At 38.3% G+C, this 22,339-nt stretch overlaps 1 long non-coding RNA gene across 1 annotated transcript; it reads right to left on the bottom strand.

Annotated features, from left to right (window-relative positions):
* Positions 1-430: 430 nt before the first annotated feature.
* Positions 431-2,573, bottom strand: LOC107985831 (uncharacterized). The gene is made up of 2 exons (XR_001739227.1): positions 2,098-2,573; positions 431-547 (listed from the first exon to the last, which is right to left on the bottom strand). It is a non-coding gene; the product is annotated as an uncharacterized LOC107985831 (long non-coding RNA).
* Positions 2,574-22,339: the final 19,766 nt, after the last annotated feature.

The following is a 22,339-nucleotide window of genomic DNA, read 5'->3' as shown; positions in this document are numbered from 1 at the left end:
ATATTTATGCTGGCATATTAATGTAACATTCAATATATATTTGACCCAAATATGACATGATTTGAGGGAAATGGAGTGAGAGAAAGTAGAAGAGTGTATGGGGCTGGGTAAGAGGTTAGTATAAATATCCATTTTCCATGGTGGAATGTCATGTCAATAGATAATGTCTGAAATGGGAAAGCCAAGAAATAGCAGTACAAATGTGTTATTCAAAATATAGAGTTTAAAACCAGAAAAAATAGCTTAAAGAGTTGAAAGTGAATGCCTGTGGGGAATGTGAATCAGAGCATGGAGAGGTAGAAAAGAGGCCTGTGAACTTCCTCACAAGCTTTGTAGTACTATTTTACTTTATGTGATGTGTTATTTTGGTTAAAATTAATTTGAAAATAACAATGCACTCAAAAAATTTGAGCAATTCAAAATGGTACTTACCCAAAATTAATTTTCTCCCTTTTCTCCGTAGCCTAAGGTGGCACATTCTCTCTAGTTGTAAACATTCTAGTGTATATTCTTCCCGACATTCTTCTCTGCACACGAAGATATAAATCTAAGAAAAACAGCAGCTTAGGGGTAAGTAGTTATGACGGTTAATTCTGTCTGTCACCTTGGCTAGGTCATGATACCCAGAAACTTGGTTCAAACACTATTCTAGATGTTTCAGTAAAAGTATTTTTTGGATAGAATTAACATTTAAATCAGTAGACTTCGAGTAAAGAAGGTTGCCCTACCTAACATAGATAAACCTCATCCAATCAGTTGAAGGCCTTAAGTGAAAGAAGTTCCTCAGTGAAGAGGGAATTCTGCCTCCAGGCAGTCTTAGAACTCAGATAGTAACTCTTCTCTGAGTCTCTAGTCTGCCAGTAGACCCTGCAGATTTTGGACTTACCAGCCATATCATGTAAGTCAATATCTTAAAATAAATCTCTCTTTCTGTACACACACACACACACACACACACACACACACACACACACCCTATTGGTTCTGTTTCTCTGGAGAACTCTAATATAGTAGTGTTTAAGGACATACAGAGAAGGGGCTTGAAGGCTGGGAGGGATGAGTCTGAACTAAGAAATCTGGGATATACTCTAAAGTCCTTCGAGAATGGAAATATCTACTGGTTAGATATTTTCTGTGATTGGAGTACAGAAAATTGCATAATAAGGCTCATAATATGAGGTACATTTGTGGAAAATTTGAGTTTTAATAGTAATTTGAGAGATGACATACTGGTAGCTATTTTACATTAGTGCAGCCGTAATTCTTTCAGTCAAGCCAAATATTTAAGAAAAACGAGAAGCTGCAATAATAGAAAGTATTTCAAAATCAGACAAACTTGCTTTCAAATCCCTGAGGACAGAGTTACTTTCAAAGACCTACTCTGTCTTGAATTTGCTGTATTGTCTTGAACCGGTTATTTCTGTAATCTTGTGTTACCACATTTATAAAAATGGGGGCCGGGTGTGGGCCGCCTGTAATCCCAGCACTTTGGGAGACCGAGGCAGGCAGATCATGAGGTCAGGAGTTCGAGACCAACCTGACAAACATGATGAAACCCCGTCTCTACTAAAAATACAAAAATTAGCCGGGCATGGTGGTGCATGCCTGTAATCCCAGCTACCAAGGAGGCTGAGGCAGGAGAATCACTTGAACCCGGGAGGCAGAGGTTGCAGTGAGCCAAGATCATGCCATTGCACTCCAGCCTGGGTGACAGAGTGAGATTCCATCTCAAAAAAAAAAAAGGATAATTATACCTCTCTCATATGGTTATGGAGGTAAAGAAGAGGATGTATATGAATGTAAAACCCACATTCAGGTGGGCAAGAAGTCGTTAAAAAGTAATGAATATTAGTTGCTTCCAAGGAGCAGTTTAAAGGACACCAAGTCTTAAGTGACTCTTCCTGACAGAGAGAGCTTAATATCCCTCTCATCGTCGCACGGGAGAGGTGGAGGGAAAAGGAGAGAGGAGAAGGGAGAGGGCAGAGAAAGAACACTGATCACCTGAAAATAATACAATGCTACTTTGAAAGAAAACGTAGATGGAGTGTTCAAGTTAGTGAGGCAGAGACCTCAGGAACAAAAGGGGATTATACTTACTTGTTACATTTGTCATTTGTCATTGTATGTGCAATGATGTTAAATTTTTAAGATTTTAATAGCCAGCACAAGAATGTCTGTTAGGAAGAAAACGGTCTTATTTGAAAATAACTTGATTGGTTACTCCTTCCCCACTTGGAGCAGAGCCTGGATATCAGCAGTAAACAAGCCATCAGAGAAAGGGGAAGCTGTCAGGAAATGAAGGGAGGAATTTCTTGTGTGTTTGTTTGTTTTTTCTCCCTCTGGATAAAAGAAACGAAAATGAGTAAAGGTCAGAGAAAAGGAGGGAAGGAGAGAAGCCAGCAAGATAGAAAAAAAACCTAGAAGGAGGTGACATGAATCATCAGTGAACCCTCAGATAGTAGAGTAGCTAAAAAATGTGATGCCTCATACATTGGAGTTTTGTTAGATGTCACTAAGCTAAGATGGTAAGATGGGCTCTCATTTGTGCATAGGTATTTTATTCTCAGGGGCATATATTTTAAAGACCCTAGAACAGAAGGTGTTGCCTGAACCCCATAAAGTCCCAAGGAACCTACCAGTTTTCAATGAATTCACTTTTTGAATCTGATTTCTTTTTTTTCGTTATTATACTTTAAGTTATGGGATACATAGGCAGAATATGCATGTTTGTTACATAAATATACGCGTGCCATGGTGGTTTGCTGCACCCATCAACCCGTCATCTACATCAGGTATTTCTCCTAATGCTATCCTTCCCCTTGCCCCCCACCACCCGACAAGCCCCAGTGTGTGATGTTCCCTTTCCTGTGCCCATATGTTCTCATTGTTCAACTCCCAGTTATGAGTGAGAACATGCGGTGTTTGGTTTTCTGTCCTTGCAATAGTTTGCTCAGAATGATGGTTTCCAGCTTCAACCATGTACCTGCAAAGGGCATAAACTCATTCTTTTTTATGGCTGCATAGTATTCCACTGTGTATATGTGCCACATTTACTTTATCCAGTTTAACATTGATGGGCATTTGGGTTGGTTCCAAATCTTTGCTATTGTAAATAGCGCTGCAATAAACATACGTGTGCATGTGCCTTTACGGTAGAATGATTTACAAATTCTTTGGGTATATACCCAGTAATGGGATTGCTGGGTCAAATGGTATCTCTGGTTCTAGATCCTTGAGGAATTGCCACATTGTCTTCCACAATGGTTGAACTAATTTACACTCCCACCAACAGTGTAAAAGTGTTCCTGTTTCTCCACATCCTCTCCAGCATCTGTTGTTTGCTGACTTTTTAATGATTGCCATTCTAACTGGCATGAGATGGTATCTCACTGTGGTTTTGATTTACATTTCTCTAACGACCAGTGATCATGAGCTTTTTTTCATATGTTTGTTGGCCGCATAAATGTCTTCTTTTGAGAAGTGTCTGTTCATATCCTTTGCCCACATTTTGATGGGTTGTTTGTGTTTTTCTTGTAAATTTGTGTAAGTTCCTTGTAGATTCTGGATATTAGCCCTTTGTCAGATGGGTAGATTGCAAAAATTTTCTCCCATTCTGTAGGTTACCTGTTCACTCTGATGATAGTTTCTTTTGCTGTGCAGAAGCTCTTTAATTTGATAAGATCCCATTTATCAATTTTGGCTTTTGTTGCCATTGCTTTTGGTGTTTTACTCATGAAGTCTTTGCCCATGCCTATGTCCTGAGTGGTATTGCTAGGTTTTCTTCTAGGATTTTTATGGTTTTAGGTCTTATGTTTAAATCTTTAATCCATCTTAAGTTAATTTTTGTATAAGGTGTAAGGAAGGGGTCCAGTTTCAGTTTTCTGCGTATGGCTAGCCAGTTTTCCCAGCACCATTTATTAAATAGGGAATCTTTTCCCCATTGCTTTTGTCAGGTTTGTCAAAGAACAGATGGTTGTAGATGTGTGATGTTATTTCTGAGGCCTCTGTTCTGTTCCATTGGTCTATATATCTGTTTTGGTACCAGTACCATGCTGTTTTAGTTAATGTAGCCTTGTAGTATAGTTTGAAGTCAGGTAGTGTGATGCTTCCAGCTTTGTTCTTTTTGCTTAGAATTGTTTTGGCTGTATGGGCTCCTTTTTAGTTCCATATGAACTTTAAAGTAGTTTTTTCCAATTCTGTGAAGAAAGTCAGTGGTAGCTTGATGGGAATAGCATCGAATCTATAAATTCCTTTTGGCAGTATGGCCATTTTCATGATATTGATTCTTCATAACCATGAGCATGGAATGTTTTTCCATTTGTTTGTGTCTTCTCTTATTTCCCTGAGCAGTGTTTTGTAGTTCTCCTGGAAGAGGTCCTTCCCATCCATTGTAAGTTGGATTCCTAGGTATTTTATTCTCTTTGTAGCAACTGTGAGTGGGAGTTCACTCATGATTTGGTTCTCTGTTTGTCTATTATGGGTGTGTAGGAATTATTGTGATTTTTGCACATTGATTTTGTATCCTGAGACTTTGCTGAAGTTGTTTATCGGCTTAAGGAGTTTTGGGGCTGAGATGATGGGGTTTTCTAAATATACAATCATGTCATCTGCAAACAGAGATAATTTGACTTCCTCTCTTCCTATTAGAATACCTTTATTTATTTTTCTTGCCTTATTGCCCTGGCCAGAACTTCCCATACTATGCTGAATAGGAGTGGTGAGAGAAAGCATCCTTGTCTTATGCCAGTTTTCAAAGACAATGCTTCCAACTTTTGCCAATTCAGTAAGATATTGGCTGTGGATTTGTGATAAAAAGCTCATTATTTTGAGATATGTTCAATCAATACCTAGTTTATTGAGAGTTTTTAGCATGAAAACTATCGAATTTTGTCAAAGGCCTTTTCTGCATCTATTGAGACAATCATGTGGTTTTTGTCATTGGTTCTGTTTATGTGATGGATTACATTTATTGATTTGCGTATGTTGAACCAGCCTTGCATACCAGGGATGAAGCTGACTTGATTGTGGTGGATAAGCTTTTTGATGTGCTGCTGGATTTGGTTTGCCATTGTTTTATTGAGGATTTTTGCATTGATGTTCATCAGAGATAATTGTCTGAAATTCTCTTTTTTTTGTTGTGTCTCTGCCAGGTTTTGGTATCAGGATGATGCTTGCCTTATAAAATGAGTTAGGGAGGAGACCCTCCTTTTCTGTTGTTTGGAATCGTTTCAGAAGGAATGGTACTAGCTTCTCTTTGTACCTCTGGTAGAATTCGGCTGTGAATCCGTCTCACCCTGGGCTTTTTTGGTTGGTGGGCTATTAATTACTGCCTCAATTTCAGAACTTGTTATTGGTCTATTCAGGGATTTGACTTCTTCTGGTTTAGTCTTGGGAGGGTGCATGTGTCCAGGAATTTATCCATTTCTTCTAGATTTTCTAGTTTATTTGCATAGAGGTGTTTATAGTATTCTCTGATGGTGGTTTGTATTTCTATGGCATCAGTGGTGATACCCCTTTTTGTCATTTTTTATTATGTCTATTTGATTCTTCTCCCTTTTCTTATTTATTAGTCTAGTGAGTGGTCTATCTATTTTGTTAATCTATTTTGTTAATCTTTTCAAAAAGCCAGCTCCTGGATTCATTGATTTTTTGAAGGGTTTTTCGTGTCTCTATTGCCTTCAGTTCTGCTGTGATCTTAGTTATTTCTTGGCTTCTGCCAGCTTTTGAATTTGTTTGCTCTTGCTTCTCTAGTTCTTTTAATTGTGATGTTAGGGTGTCAATGTTAGATCTTTCCTGCTTTCTCCTGTGGGAATTTAGTGCTATAAATTTCCCTCTAAACACTGCTTTAGCCGTGTCCCAGAAATTCTGGTACATTATGTCTTTTTTGTCACTGGTTTGAAAGAATTTATTTTTCTCTGCCTTAGTTTCGTTATTTACCCAGTAGTCATTCAGGAGAAGGTTTTTCAGTTTCCACATAGTTGTGCGGTTTTGAGTGAGTTTCTTAACCCTGAGTTCTAATTTGATTGCACTGTGGTCTGAGAGACTGTTATGATTTCCGTTCTTTTGCATTTGCTGAGGAGTGTTTTACTTCCAATTATGTGGTCAGTTTTAGAATAAGTGTGATGTAGTGCTGAGAAGAATGTATATTCTGTTGATTTGGGGTGGAGAGTTCTGTAGATGTCTATTAGGTGCGCTTGGTCAAGAGATGAGTTCAAGTTCTGAATATCCTTGTTAATTTTCTGTCTCGTTGATCTGTCTAATATTGACAGTGGGGTGTTGAAGTCTCCCACTATTATTATGTGGGAGTCTAAGTATCTTTGTAGGTCTCTAAGAACTTGCTTTATGAATCTGGGCACTCCTGTATTAGGTGCATATATATTTAGGATAGTTAGCTCTTCTTGTTGCATTGATCCCTTTACCATTAGGTAATACCCTTCTTTGTCTTTTTAAATCTTTGTTGGTTTAAAGTCTGTTTCATCAGAAATTAGGATTGCTTTTTTTTGCTTTCCATTTGCTTGGTAAATCTTCCTCCATCCCTTTATTTTTAGCCTATCAATGTCTTTGTATGTGAGATGGGCCTCCTGAATACAACACACCAATGGGTCTTGACTCTTTATCCAATTTGCCAGTCTGTGCCTTTTAACTGGGGCATTTAGCCCAATTACATTTAAGGTTAATATTGTTATGTGTGAATTTGATCCTGTCATTACAATGCTAGCTGGTTATTTTGCCCATTAGTTGATTCAGTTTCCTCATAGTGTCAATGGTTCTTAGATTTTGGGTTATTTTCGCAACGGCTAGTACCAGTTTTTCCTTTCCATGTTTAGTGCTTCCTTCAGGAGCTCTTGTAAGGCAGGCCTGGTGGTGACAAAATCTCTCAGCAGTTGCTTGTCTGTAAAGGATTGTATTTCTCCTTCGCTTATGAAGCTTAGTTTGGCTGGATATGAAATTCTGGATTGAAAGTTCTTTCCTTTAAGAATGTTGAATATTGGCCCCCACTCTCTTGTGGGTTGTAGGGTTTTTGCAGAGAGGTCCACTGTTAGCCTGATGGGCTTCCCTTTGTGGGTAACTAGAACTTTCTCTCTGGCTGCCCTTAACATTTTTTTCCTTCATTTCAACCTTGGTGATCTGACAATTATGTGTCTTGGAGTTGCTCTTCTCAAGGAGTATCTTTGTGGCATTCTCTGTATTTCCTGAATTTGAATATTGGCCTGTCTTGCTAGGTTGAAGAAGTTTTCCTGGATAATATCCTGAAGTGTGTTTTCCAACTTGGTTCCATTATCCCCGTCACTTTCAGGTACACCAATCAAACGTAGGTTTGGTCTTTTCACATAGTCCCATATTTGTTGGAGGCTTTGTTCATTCCTTTTCATTCTTTTTTCTCTAATCTTATCTTCACACTTTATTTCATTAAGTTGGCCTTCAATCTCTGATATCCTTTCTTCTGCTTGTTTGATTTGGCTATTCATACTTGTGTATGTTTCACAAAGTTCTTGTGCTGTGTTTTTCAGCTCCATTGGGTCATTTGTGTTCTTCTCTAAATTGGTTATTCTAGTTGGCAATTCCTCTAACCTTTTATCAAGGTTCTTAGCTTCCCTGCATTGGGTTAAAACATGCTCCTTTAGCTCGGAGGAGTTTGTTATTACCCATCTTCTGAAGCCTACTTCTGTCAATTCATCAAACCCATTCTCCATACAGTTTTGTTCCCTCGCTGGTGAGGAGTTGTGATCCTTTGGAAGAGAAGAGTCATTCCGGTTTTTGAAATTTTCAGCCTTTTTGCGCTGGTTTTTCCTCATCTTCTTGGATTTATTTACCTTTGGTCTTTGCTGTTGGTGACCTTCAGATGAAGTTTTTGTGTTGTCGTCCTTTTTGTTGATGTTGATGCTATTGCTTTCTGTTTGTTAGTTTTCCTTCTAACAGTCAGGCCCCTCTTCTGCAGGTCTGCTGGAGTTTGCTGGGGGTCCACTCCAGACCCTGTTTGCCTGGGTATCACCAGCAGAGGCTGCAGAACAGCAAAGATTGCTGCCTGCTCCTTCCTCTGGAAGCTTCGTCCCAGAGGGGCACCCAGCAGATGCCAGCCAGAGCTCTCCTGTATGAGGTGTCTGTTGATCCCTGCTGGGAGATGTCTCCCAGTCAGGAGGCACGGGGGTCAGGGACCCACTTGAGGAGGCAGTCTGTCCCTTACCACAGCTAGAGCACTGTACTGGGAGATCCGCTGCTCTCTTCAGAGTCAGCAGGCAGGAATGTTTAAGTCTCCTGAAGCTGTGCCCACAGCCGCCCGTTCCCCCAGGTGCTCTGTCCCAGGGAAATGGGAATTTTATCTATAAGCCCCTGACTGGGGCTGCTGCCTTTCTTTCAGAGATGCCCTGCCCAGAGAGGAGGAATCTAGAGAGGCAGCCTGGCTACAGTGGCTTTGTGGCATTGTGGTGGGCTCCAAGTCCAAACTTCCAGGGAGCTTTGTTTACACTGTGAGGGGAAAACCACCTACTCAAGCCTCACTAATGGCAGATGTCCCTCCCTCCACCAAGCTTGAACGTCCCAGGTCTACTTCAGACTGCTGTGCTGCCAGTGAGAATTTTAAGCCAGTGGATCTTAGCCTGCTGGCCTCCGTGGGAGTGGGATCCACTGAGCAAGACCACTTGGCTCCCTGGCTTCAGCCCCCTTTCCAAGGGAGTGAACAGTTCTCTCTTGCTGGCATTCCAGATGCCACTGGGATATGAAAAAAAAATTCCTGCAGCTAGCTTGGTGTCTGCCCAAACAGCCACCCAGTTTTGTGCTTGAAACCCAGGGCCCTGGTGATGAAAGCACCTGATGGAATCTCCTGGTCTGTGTGTTGTGAAGATGTGGGAAAAGCATAGTATCTGGGCCAGAATGCACTGTTCCTCACACACAGTCCCTCATGGCTTCCCTTGGTTAGGGGAGGGAGTTCCCGATCCCTTGTGCTTCCTGGGTGAGGTGACGCCCCACCCTGCTTCTGCTTGCCCTCTGTGGGCTGCACCCACTGTCTAACCAGTCCCAATGAGATGAACCTGGTACCTCAGTTGGAAATGCAGAAATCATCCGCCTTCTGCATTGGTCTCACTGGGAGCTGCAGACCAGAGCTGTTCCTATTCTGACATCTTTCCCAGGATATCCAATCTGATTTCTTACTCCTTCTCAACACACATATTTTCCTACAACTATATTTAAGCACATAATCTACCAAATGCACTTTTTCATATCATGTTATTACTACCATCTTCTCCCATCTTCTGTTCCCCAATTCCTATAAAGGTTCAGCTCAATGGCCCCTTCTTCCAGGAAGCCTTCTTGATTATTCCAGCTTAGAGCTACCTCCTGGCCACCCTAATGTCTTTAGTATATATATATCACTAATTTGATTTCTTATCCCTATCTTTTCACATGTATACATTTTAGGGAAGGCGCTTGTAAATTTACTAAAAGTAACTGAAAACGTCATTGAGTTTCATTGCTTAATGTTATAGAGAAAAATGACAAGGAAGTTGCCTAAGCTTTTCCACTTTTTGGCTGTTTTATGCAGAATTATATATAATAATAAAATCTGGTTAATTTTCATTTCTTTGAGTTTTTAATAATTTTGTGGCACAATGCTTTGGCTAATGCTTGAAAATGGATCTTCACCATAAGCATGGGCTACAAAACATTTAATTTGGGGCAGATAAGACTCAGGCTCTACTAGTGTGTAGAGCATACCCATTGTGCTTATTTATCAAATGCTCAGTGAATTATCTCTTTACAAAGACTCCCGATTAGCACTATGTATAGTTTCCTAGGCACAACGTACTTTTGACTGACGGTTTTCAATCAACATTGCATCCCTTTACACACAGGGAATGAATCAAATTATTCTGTTGCTGTTTCTATAAATGTAAAAATGTAATTTTGGAGCCATAAAGCTGTCTCCACAAACACTTTGTCTTCTTTTTCTTGGTTACTTTTTGTTTCACATCACTTAAGAAATCAGAGTGACCATGGCGTGCTGTGCTCTGTATGGGACATATTTTTGCTTTATTTCATTGGTTGAGTATTGTATTGGAGTACCACTAAACAGCACTATAATAGTGCACTACTTGGGAGAAACATTATTTTTTTGGCTAACTCCATTAAAAATCACTGAAAATTACAAGTACAGAAATTTAAAAAAAGAATAAAGCTATGAAAATGGAACACCAGTGTTTTATGGCATATGAAATGCCCCTCTCACACAAAGCACATAAATGTTTAACCAGCAAGAGGCATCCTTTTAGGAGGCTGTCACTATAGCAGGTATGCTATAGTGGCTGTTACCAAATAAAATGCAGTGGTTGTTACCGAATAAAAATGATGACTTTCTTTTTTGTGTGCCCCATCTCAGGATGTGGAGAAGAAAAATGAACAACAGATGGCTGTAGAGAAACTATTTCTATGGACCTGTTCTTGTCTATTACTCTGGGAGAAATAACTCTGCTGTTGAAAAGCACTATATGGCCACATGGCCACAATCCACATCTTGACCAGTTGTTTCAACCTGTCCACATCTTGACCAGTTGTTTCAACCATTTGTATGCATAAAGATGATATTGGACATTTAGTAAAATGCACATTCCTGGGCCACTTTGCAATAATTTCTTTTAGAGATTTGGAGCAGAGCCCAGGTGCCTGGATACTAACTATCAACTAAAATGATGTGTTCTTGGACCACACTTTAAGAAACACTGCTTTGGATCTTGTACAACATAGACTCTATGTTCTCTATGATGGGAAATGGAAGTAATGATGAGTTTCCCCCAATATTGTTTAGGACCTGAACCAATCTGTATTCTATGGCAGCTTATCCTATCTGAAGCAACATGTTGAACTAGTGTAGGAGGATTTCTTTTTCTTTTCCTGTTTTTTTTTTTTTTTTTTTTTTTAGAAGTAGTCTCCCTCTGTCACCCAGGCTGGAGTGCAGTGGTGCTATCTCAGCTCACTGCAACCTCCACCTCCTAAGTTCAAGTGATTCTCCTGCCTCAGCCTCCTGAGTAGCTGGGACTACAGTTGTGTGCCACCACACCCAGCTAATTTTTTGTATTTTTAGTAGAGAAGGGGTTTCACCATGTTAGCCAGGATGGTCTCAATCTCCTTACCTCATGATCCGCCAGCTTCAGCCTCCCAAAGTGCTGGGATTACAGACATGAGCCACCGCGGCCGGCCAGGAAGGATTTCTAATGCAAAAATTTCCAGGAACAAAGGTTCAATATAAGAACAGCTTACTAACGGCAGTTGGTTCAGTACAGGAATGTTTGATATTTAGTTTCAAGGTCTGTGGCCAATTTTATAACTAGTAAAACAGCAAAACACTGCAGCACTGTGTTTTCAGTGATTCAATTGTGTGCCCAAGAAAGTTTCTCTTTAATTAAATATTCAGCATTTGAAGCAAACTGAGAAAGTATGAATGGGCAGGTTGTTGCAGACATCGAGTCTTTACAATAACTATTACTTTCTTTTTATTGGCATAGTTCTATTCATTTGACAGGTTTGTATTATACGATTGGGGCACAACTCTAGTAGCATCCTTACCAAGATAGTGTGGCTTATGTTTCTACTCACCATGACGTTGTAACAAAATGGCACTGGCTTTGCAGTTAAAAGGTCCTGAGCTTGAATCCTGGTCTCTTTAGCTGTGTAAACTTGGACAAATCACTTAGTCTTATTATGTCTCCTTCATTGGAATTTTCAGAGAATCATGAAATCATATATGGTGATGACCAGGCACAGTAGTAGTGAGTTCTCTCCTTTTCCTGCTCTTACTCTTTTCCTTAGTGATAACTCCTTTCTTGATTGATATAGCAAGTTACCTGAACTAAAAGACTTAGGGTCGTTTAAAAATCCACCTCCTTCTTCATACTTCTTATCCAATTAGTCACCAAGTATATCACCTCTGCTCCTAAAACCCTCACTGACTGCTATCTGCTCTAATAGGCCTCTAAATGTGATGTGTCCTTTAACTAGAATGTCCATCCTCTCTATTCCTCTACAGGGAAGACAGTGATGTTTCATGCTCTGAGTGTCACAAAGCCTTTGATTATTCAGTGCAGCACAGTCTTCCCCAGGGTAACAAGGAAGCTGAATGACACAGTGCCACAGTCAAGACTATGCCCCGGTGCACCTTGGTTATTCCCTGTGGTTGTGTTCCTTCATCTGGATCACTGCTGTAGGAGTTACAGAGCAACCTTTTAACAAGAGCTCCCAGTAGAGTCCTGAAGAGTCACCATCTTTAATGTATATAATCAATACTTGCCCCTTCCTTCTTATGCTGCTCCTAAGGCCACCTGTGCAAAAGGAAAAAATAAAAAATAAAAGCCCACTGCCAGCTTACTCCTCGGGTAAGATAAACAAATCACTCCTTTTACAGACACTATGAGCTATAACACATTGTTTCAACTTGACTGAAAGGAGTTTTGTATGAATTTGTTTTAATTAAGGGAATCAAGATACAAAAAAATAGCTATGTTAATCAGAAATGTGGATGCTTGGAAAAAAGGAATCAAGAGATATTTTCAGAGAAAAAAATTTCTCTAAAAGTAGAAAAAAAACGAATGATGTATGTAAGAATGAATAACATCTCAAAAGATTTATCTTAAAGTGTAACTACCCTACCTTCTTACCTTGGTTCTTCCAAATCACTTCTGAAAGCTAAACAACAGAGACTACACATTAGAAAACCAGTAAACATGAAATGATTTTCAGAAATTAATATATCTGTTGTACATGTTGAACCTAGATATTAAATAGTTATACAAAATATAAAGTAATGATCCAAAAACAAGAATCCTGTTGCCTTATTCTTGCTGCTGTCAACTCCTAGAACTGTCTTGAGGGAGTGATGCCAATTATTGACAGCACAGTTATAAAACCAGCAGTGGCAAACTTAGAGCTAGTAGGAAAAGAAAACCAGCCTGCTTGAGACCCTGGGAGAGGTTCATTGTGTATGGCCTAGGAAATCTGCCCTCAAAAGGGATAAACACATTTAGGACTTCCCAGAGATTAACAGATTTATTCAAACATTTGCCGAATACAAGGCAGTTTGATGAGGTTATGACAAGAGTGCATTCTAGGATTCAGGCAGAGGCATGTTCCTTCTGCAACCTCATGACAATGAGGCATCATGACAATTTACTTGACTGCTCTAATCTCCCTTTTTTTGTAGGTTTTTAAAAAAGTTTATCTATGGTCGGAAATACTTATGCCCAATAAATAAATAAGCTAGCTATGACAAAGTGGAATCGTTTCAGTTAATCAGGAGATTAAAGCAAGAAAAAGAACTGGATTAGTCAGATTGTCTAGGAAATAGGGTTCCTTTTCTGAAAATGAAGACTTGAAGGAGCTGTTTGATATTGTGTTTGTTTTTTTATTTTTATTTTATTATTTATTTATTTATTTTGTTTTTTGAGATGGAGTCTGGCTCTGTAGCCCAGGCTAGAGTGCAGTGGCTTGACCTCCGCTCACTGCAAGCTCTGCCTCCCAGGTTCACACCATTCTCCTGCCTCAGCCTCCCAAATAGCTGGGACTACAGGCACCCGCCACCACGCCCAGCTAATTTTTTTGTATTTTAGTGGAGACAGGGTTTCACCGTGTTAGCCACGATGGTCTCGATCTCCTGACCTCATGATCTGCCTGCCTCGGCCTCCCAAAGTGCTGGGATTACAGGCGTGAGCCACCGCACCCGGTTGTGTTTGCTTTTTTTTTACAATCATTATCTCATTCAATCATTGTAGCAACTCTACAAAATAAGTACTATTGACATTTGCATCTTACAGATGAAAAATTGAGACCAGAGAGTTAAGCAATGTTCCCAAGGTTAAACAGCTAGTGTGGGTTGGAGAGCCCAATGCTCTGTCATGCTACATGCCCAGTCTTGTTATCAACAGTTTCCCTTCAGCAAATTCTGTTTGCTTCTCATAAACTGGAAACAAACAAACAAACAAAAACCCACCAAAAATCTTGTTAAAAGCTTGAAGGCAACTATCAAATCATTCATTCTCTCTACAGAGGATAAAACTAAAGATTTAATTAATACAATTAAGTAGATTACACTGTAAAAAATACAAGGATAAAGGAATTAAATGATTAGATGAAAATGACAGGGATGGCCAGCGTTCTTGAGGTCTAAAACAAAGTTTTCCTATTAATAAAAAAAGAAATTCAAACTATACAGATGGCCCAAGATAATATGAATCCAAGACCTGGTTTACGTATCTTTTAATTTTAAACTTGTAAAAGTCTTCATGTATTTTATATCTATAACCTCAAAGAAATAGCAACAATACTAAATGTAGAAACAAATTTGATGCAAAACATTGCCTCTGTATATTTCTTGATGTCATATTTTAAGATACGAGTTCACACGTCTGTAGTCAAAAGTCCTCTTCCTCTCTCCCACAGGAAATTATGCCAGGGAGTGGGAGACACCTGGCTGGCCAGGCAGAGGATCCAGAAGTGAAGGAGGGAGGACACAGAGGGAGAGGGAAAGAAAATTCTTAGGCTGGGTTGAGTTGAGAACAGTCAGAAACAACTCACAAAATGACTTCAGAAGCAGTGGAAACTGTGCTTAGGTAAACCTTTCGGTGATAGGCTTTGGAGAATTTGAGTTTCCAGGAGAAGAAACAGACCTGAAAGCCCCAAGTCCCTGGACACAGAGGTAGGAAAATCTCTCTCAAATATGCTTTGTTAGCATAATTTGTTACAGGCATAAAAATGTATGTCATCAAGTTAGACAATGAATATAGAAAAATGACAACCCTGTTTCCAAGGAGCCTATTTGTAGCCTAGGATAAGACAAATACAACATCTCAGCAGTCCCTAGCTATGGAGAGGCTGCTGGGTTTACAGGGAGTGGAAGCAGAAAAGTACGGACATGGAGGAGAAAGTTGACTCCGCAAGCATCTGACAGCTCCCATCTCCTTGGTGAAGGCAGCTTCATGTGAAGTGAGGCACCCCAGGTCCAGGGGTGGTGGGAGCTCCACCTGCTGCAGCAGCCACGGCCTGTGGGTTCTCAGGGCTACTCTGAAAGTCAATCAGAGAATGTCAAAGCAACCACATTTTAACAGAAGGAATATGGCAGTTGGGAAGTTTCCAAGCAATCAGTCCTCCTTTATTTGAACTAGAGAAAGAAATTTTGGGGACTGAGGCACAAAATAACTACTAACACATTCTGACTTGCTCCCAAGGCTGATGGTCTAAGGAAATAATATGTTACATATGAGTATAGATAAGTCTTTAATTCCAAATAACTACTAAGTATTTATTGAGCTACTACAAAGTTAAACAATATGCGGGACTCTGGAGATGCAATGAAGAGTGAGAAGCTTTAGTCCTTGAGTTCATGTGGTTCAGAAGCCCAGACACGGAAGACAGACAATCAAATAGTCATACAAATGAGGAAATACCCTAATGACCGACTGAAGTCATTTCTATTAAGGAAAAAGCCTGGTTATAACATATAACAAAGGAAATTGGTTAAGCAATGCTCCCAAGGTTAAACAGCTGGCAACTAATTGGGTTGATGAGGTTGAGGAGATTTCTCATTTTAAAATCTTTTATACTGATACAATAGTATGTAACTAAACTATTAACGTTGAAAGTTATCCAAGAAATCCATCCAATATAGTAGATAACCTAGAGATTTTTACTTTATGGAAGGAAAAAAAATATGCTTTGGATAGATTTGTTCAGAATAGCATTGCTATTTAGACCAGCCTCTAACAAGCAATATTTGGTAAATCTTATTATTGTAGTTTTCAAATAGTACATGTTGTTATGTTATGAAACCAAGGTTGCTTAGCTATTTCCAATTGTAGTACCCAGTTGTGGCATGGAATACTTTATTAGTTCTCTCACAAACCTCCAGTGGGGAAAGCTAATATTGTTAAATGCATGCCCACTGAGAGAAATTTTACAAATTACAGAACACTACAGCTCAAATAGAATAACTGTATATTAATGAAAGAAGTAAAACTTATTTTAAAAATGAAAAAAATATAATTTCCATATTGAATATGCTTTAATCTTTGAGAAAAGTTAAAATGTGATAATCCTTAAAGAGATTATTATCAAATACTGCTATGTAAATGTCAAGGAACTATAACCATATTTTCTCATAATAATACATTCAGAAACACTGAAGAAAATAAAACCGATTAAAATAAAGAGGGAACTGCTGGTTGGAAACAAAAATCAAGTAACAGTTTTGTATTTTAAGCTATTGCAATAATAATTGACTGAAATTTTCTCTCATGTTAATTTATGTGAAGTTAAAATACTTCTATATTTAGCTCCATCTTTATCCTTTAAGAATGGAATAAACATTGCTCTAAGGAGATAATAACTTTAAGAAGTTTTCCCCAGTTGCCTATGGATATTTTTTTCAATACATTTCCAAGTTCTTAAAATATTTCTATCAATTTTGGAAAGATTTTGCCAAGAAAAGTCTGCAACATTTAAAACAGTATCATTGCTAACTCTGGCTAAATGTCCTTAAGCAAGTTGTGGATTTCAAACAATGCAACACACCACAGCCAGGAAATGATGACCTACTGCCCACTGAATTTCTTTTCTTTATCCTCCCGATAACAGTATACAAGCCATCAGTACTAAATCTTATCTTCTTGTTAGTGGCTGAGCTTAAAAAGACACGAAAGACATCTTGAGAGCTTGAATGGAAAGATCTTCTGGATAATTATTATTTTGGCAAAAACGAGAATGTTGGGCTCACCTTTGCAGCATGTCACAAAACACCTATAACTTAGAACTCAAGGATATATTGGAATATCAGGTGCTCTGTCAGGATTGCACATATGGCTTGGGAATGTCTCGTCTAAAGCATTGCTACTTGAAGCCTGGCCCTAGCATCAGCAGTTAAGAATACAGATTTGTGACCCTCACCTGCTGAATTAGAATCTCTGAGATGGGGCCCAGGGATCTCTGTTTTTAACAAGGTGTCCAGGTGATTCTTAGTCTCACTGAAGTGCTAGAACTTCTGGTTTAAAGGACTTCTGGGTGCTGGGTTACAAGGCTTGCCATGGACAATCAGATTATGTTTGTTCCCCCATAACAGCAACATAGACACCACCTGGAACTTGTTAGAAACACAGACTTTTCTGCCCCAGCCCTACAGAATCAGTCTACATTTTAGGAAGGTCCCTATGGGATTTCAAGTCCAAGTTGGAAACTGAAAGGATGCTGATCTCCTGTTTTCTGAGGGAGTGTTCCCCCAGGGGCCTGTCCTGTCCCGCAGTAGCTACAGTGCCCTGGGCCTCTCTCCCCTCTCCCATACCAAAATCCTTATTTACCCAACAACGTGTTTCAGGCAGGCGCAGGGACAGGAAGTGATTTCTATGAGCTAATAAGTTTTAGTGTATAGTTACTGGTAAAATTCAATGTGCTTTGAATTCGTATAATATTGGCATTAAAAAGATTTCTGGAGATGACCATATATATATATAGAATATATATATATATATTCTATAAAAAGCCTTTATCTCATGAGGCTTTTCTTAAATTGATACAATAATTGTACATACTTATGGGGTACAGTGATATTTTGATACATGTATACAAAGTATAATTAACAGAGTAATTCAGAGTAATTAGCATATCCATCACCTCTATCATTTATCATTGTGTTGGGAGCATTCAAAGTCCTCTTTTCTAGCTATTTGAAAATATACAATAAATAGTGTTAACTATAGTCCCTCAAGAATGCTATGAAACACTACACTAGAACTGATTCTCTTATCTAGCTGTAATATTTTATGTCTGTTAAGCAACCTCTCCCTACCATCCCTTCTCTCCTGCCCTTCCCAGCCTCTAGTAACCACTATTCTACTCTACTTCTACCTTTAAGAGATCATGTTTTTTAGATTACGAGTGAAAATGTGTATTTCTTATGGCTAAATAGAACTGCATTGTCTATATATACCACATTTTATCCATTCACCTACTGATGGACACTTAGGATGATTCCATTATCTTGGCTACTGTGAATAGTGCTGCAACATGGGAGTGTAGATATCTCTTTGATATACTGATTTATTTTCCTTCAGATAAATACTCAAAAGTAGGATTGCTGGATTGTATGGTAGTTCTATTTTTAGTTTTTCTGAGGAACCTCTGGACTGTTTTCCAGAATGGCTGTACTACTTCACATTCCCATCAACAGTGTGGGAGTGTTTCCCTTCCTCTAAATCCTCGCCAGCATGCATTGTTTTTCATTGGTCTGATAACAGCCATTATAACTGGGGTGAGAAGATATCTCATTATGGCTTTGATTTGCATTTCCCTGAAGATTAGTGATTTTGGGCACTTTTTCATGTAGTCATTGGCTATTTGTCTTCTTCTTGGAAAAATGTCTAGTGAGATCATCTGCCCATTTTCAAACTGGATTTTTTTTTCTGTCATTTTTCCTTGAATGACTCTCTAATGTGAGATTCTAGGCAGAGTGAGAAACTGGTGGAGTAACTCAAGGTTTTGTGGGGGCTGGATTTTTTATATTCTACAAATCAGACATGAATATATTGACTCCTTTCCTTTATAAACAAGAAATGATTGCACAAAGAATTCACCTCCACTGACCTGTCACCTAGATTTTCTTCAACTATCTGATAACCCCAGACCAGTATGAGCCCAGTATTCTAGGTGGTCTAGCCAGTAACATTGCAGTGGTTTCAAGAGTCCAAAAATTAACTTAAATATACACCTAGGGGTTGGGGTGATTTTGAAAGTCCTATACACATCAGCACTTTACAGTACCCTGGAAAGTCCTGGAATCAAACACTCCTGCCTCCTCCATACACCCTATGCCCAAATCTGGAAATCCAAGTTTCCAAATATTATGATTATAGGATGGAGATGGTGGCATGGTTTTTAAAGTTTTTTAGCCAATTATAATACACAAGTTTTTTAGCCTATTCTGATAATCACTGACCAGTTGTGTTTCTGTTCATAAAGTTTTCATGCATAATTCAATGGTGACTATACTGTTATTACTTGAATAAGACATATAGTACAAGTTTTCTATATATGAAATGCTACCATTTTATACTTCAATCTGATGCATGCATGATTTGTTATAATACAAGTTCTGCATCTAAATATAGGTCCAAGCATGCAAAATAAATAGCAATTTTAATTTTGGTATTCTCTTGATTTTGCTAGTAACTGTTTTAAAATTAAACCATTTAAAATGAAAACACAAGCTAAGGATGGCTTCATTTATTAAAGATTTCTTCATCAAAATTTACTGAACACCAATAATGCACTAAATACTACAGCAAAGAGGCTGCTGGGATTTGGGCAATCATTTATCTTTACCTAAAGTTTGAAAATCTGACCAGGTACTTCTACTTTGATTTTTATGATTTAAACTGAAACGCTGGTAAACAAACTAAGCATGAAGCCTATCTTCTTGAATTACAATTGTTTACAATGCACCTCAATGATATGAGTAAGCCCTTCTAAAGTTGAGATTGTGGCAAATTTTTACAACACGGACAATAAAGGAAAAACAATTTTTCCCTTTATATTTATAAAAACAATATTGCCAAATAAAGAGGAAATTATATTTACCCATAGTTCCTTTTTTTCTGTGTATTCTCTTAATCTTTATTTTCCAACCTTTTTAGAAAGGTTATTCTCTAACCTTTTTTTCTATGTATTCTCTTAATCTTTATTCACAAACATACTTTTTACATAGTTGTAACCTGTGTATTCATACAATTTAGAGGAAATCACTAGTTAAGGCCTAATATAAAGAATTTATGCAGACTTCTCTTTAAGGAAATTATACAGTGTAAAACTTACACCATAATCCTCATAGACCTAAGAGTTTCAACCATCAGACCAAATTACAACTTCCTTTCCTTCCTTCTCCACTTGAGTAAATGAACTAATACGAGGCTCTCTTTAGTTTGAGTTCACTGTCCCTAAAAGAGTATATGTAAAATATTGTTATCTTCTTGGTTGCTTAGCATTATTTTTATGCAATCATTATAAAATCTTAAAATTATGAATGCAGATTCTCAAATCTGCATAAAACAATTTAAAGTTATTATCAAATGTCTTTTGCACAAGTAATTTTAGTACTTTTTCCTGTATACACTTTGCTTTTTAAGTTTTCTGGTATAAACGTCCCCACAGTAACTTAACCAACTATCTCATCGTTCTTATTCCACTCTTGTTGAGCTTATTGAATAAGGAAGGCATTAATACAAATGACAGACTTCTTCAAAGGACATCTGCATCTAAGTACACCATAAACACCAAAGGAAAGGCAGCATTATCTAGGTAGAGTAGGGTCTGCAATGAAAGAAGTACCAGTCTGGTTCCACCATACATCGACTGTGATTCATCTTGGTCCTATCGTTTTTGCCCCATGCAATTCAGGTTAAGTCTACTGTAAAAGGAAGATCTTATTAGCATTCTAATTCTTTGTGGATATGATGGCAAAAAAGCAAGAATATTCATAAGCATTTCAACATCCTCAGATGAAAGATACTGGATTTTTTAAGCAGAAGATTTCATTTGTTATTAATATTCATTAGGATAAATACCACTTATTACTAACTTGTCCTACTAAAACATCTCTGTATCATTCTGGTTAAAAACTATAAATGAGTTTACCTTTCCAGTACGTTTCAAGAACAAGTCTGGAGAGCATGCTAAACTGTTTTCATTTAGTGACACACTGACATCTAGTGGAGATTTATGGTGTGTGAAAGGATATCACACACCCAAAAATAACCACAGTTCTGATGGGGCAGAAAGAAAAAGCACCTTTTTGTTTTTTATGCAAGGCATCAAGAAAAAGATTTTTAAAAGATTAAATAAATGTACATTTCTTGTATACTTAAGTTTTGCTTGTTCAATTAGAAACACTCGCCAATTCACAAAACATAAAAAGACGGAATATTAGAGGTGGGAGTGGTGAAAAACTGTTTCATGTTGTGGTTTGAGAGATCCCAAAAAATATCCCACTAATTCAGAATCTAAAGGAGCAACATGTAATTATGTGCTCACTTCCTATTTACTTTTTATAGTGAATGCAGGCAACGGTGGAGGGAAGAAAGGAAGAAGGAAGGGGAGGGGAGGAGAAATGAGGGAAGGGGACATAGGAGGCAAGCCTTCCAGGGTTTCCACTACATCCCTTGAATTAACTTCTGCACCTCCTTGTGGTTAGAATTTTATTAATTCCAGAAGGAAAGCTCCTTTAAGCATATATGTAAGCTATATGGCATGTCACTAAGCATTTATTTAAACCTGCTCATTTAATATACTGTATTTACTTTGGAATAAAAATATAAAACAAAATGTTTCTATTACCCTGGGCTTTCCCAATGCAGCAGCATCAGTAAAAACATGGCTTCTGTGTTTGCTTTCTGTCCTTCCACAGGTAACAAGAAATAAATGCTAAGTGGCCCCAGGAGGAAGTCAATTTAACATCTGCATATTTTATTTAACATATAATTATTTTAATTAGGTAAGATTAACAATTATTCATTGGAAAATTATCACAATCATATCATATCAGGTACAGTACAAATTAAATCTAAAACGGTGTCCCCTCCTCCCCCTTTAGGGAACCTGGGAAGGACTCAGAGTGCCGATGGTGTATTTGATATACATCAGCCTATTTCCTTGTTTTCTATTGAACTTCAACCACTGGATGGAACTTCTTTACACCACTGTTTAATTGCTTCATTATTCCAGTGAGCAGGCAAGGCTGAAGAGGAGGAATTCTGGAAGCTGGAATAAAGAATTTATATTTGTACTGCTGTGTGCTTAGCCTCTGGTTCTGGAAGACCTTTCCACCACACCTCTTCTGAAAAAAAAAAAAAAAAAGAAAGAAAGAAAGAAAGAAAAGTGAAAACATCTTACTGTTGGCCTGGAGGAAACATGGAACTAAAAGAAATCCTCGAGAACTAGGAAATGTATGATTTTTCTCGCGAAGAATGTGTATGACGTTGTTCCTGCCACACCCAGAATGCTAAATTCTTTAATTCACTCTTTCAATTATGTCTGGAAATAAGAATCATCATCCAGAAATCATTAGACCAGCTCTCAAGTGTAAAATCCTAAAAATATATATATTCTTTTTGAAACAGGGTCTTGCTCTGTCATCCAGGCTGGATACAGTGGTATGATCATGGCTCACTGCAGGCTTGACCTCCTGGCTCAAGCAATCTTCCTGCCTCAGCCTCCCAAGTAGCTTGACTATAGGTGTGCTGACTATGCTTGGCTAATTTTTAATTTTTTTTTTTTGTAGAGATAAAGGTCTTGCTCTGTTCCCCAGGCTGGTCTTGAA

The sequence above is a fragment of the Homo sapiens genome, chromosome 2, assembly GCF_000001405.40.
Source record: "Homo sapiens chromosome 2, GRCh38.p14 Primary Assembly".
NCBI lineage: Eukaryota > Metazoa > Chordata > Mammalia > Primates > Hominidae > Homo > Homo sapiens.
Note: the sequence above shows the minus strand (reverse complement) of the source record. Positions and strands in the feature narration are given on the sequence as shown.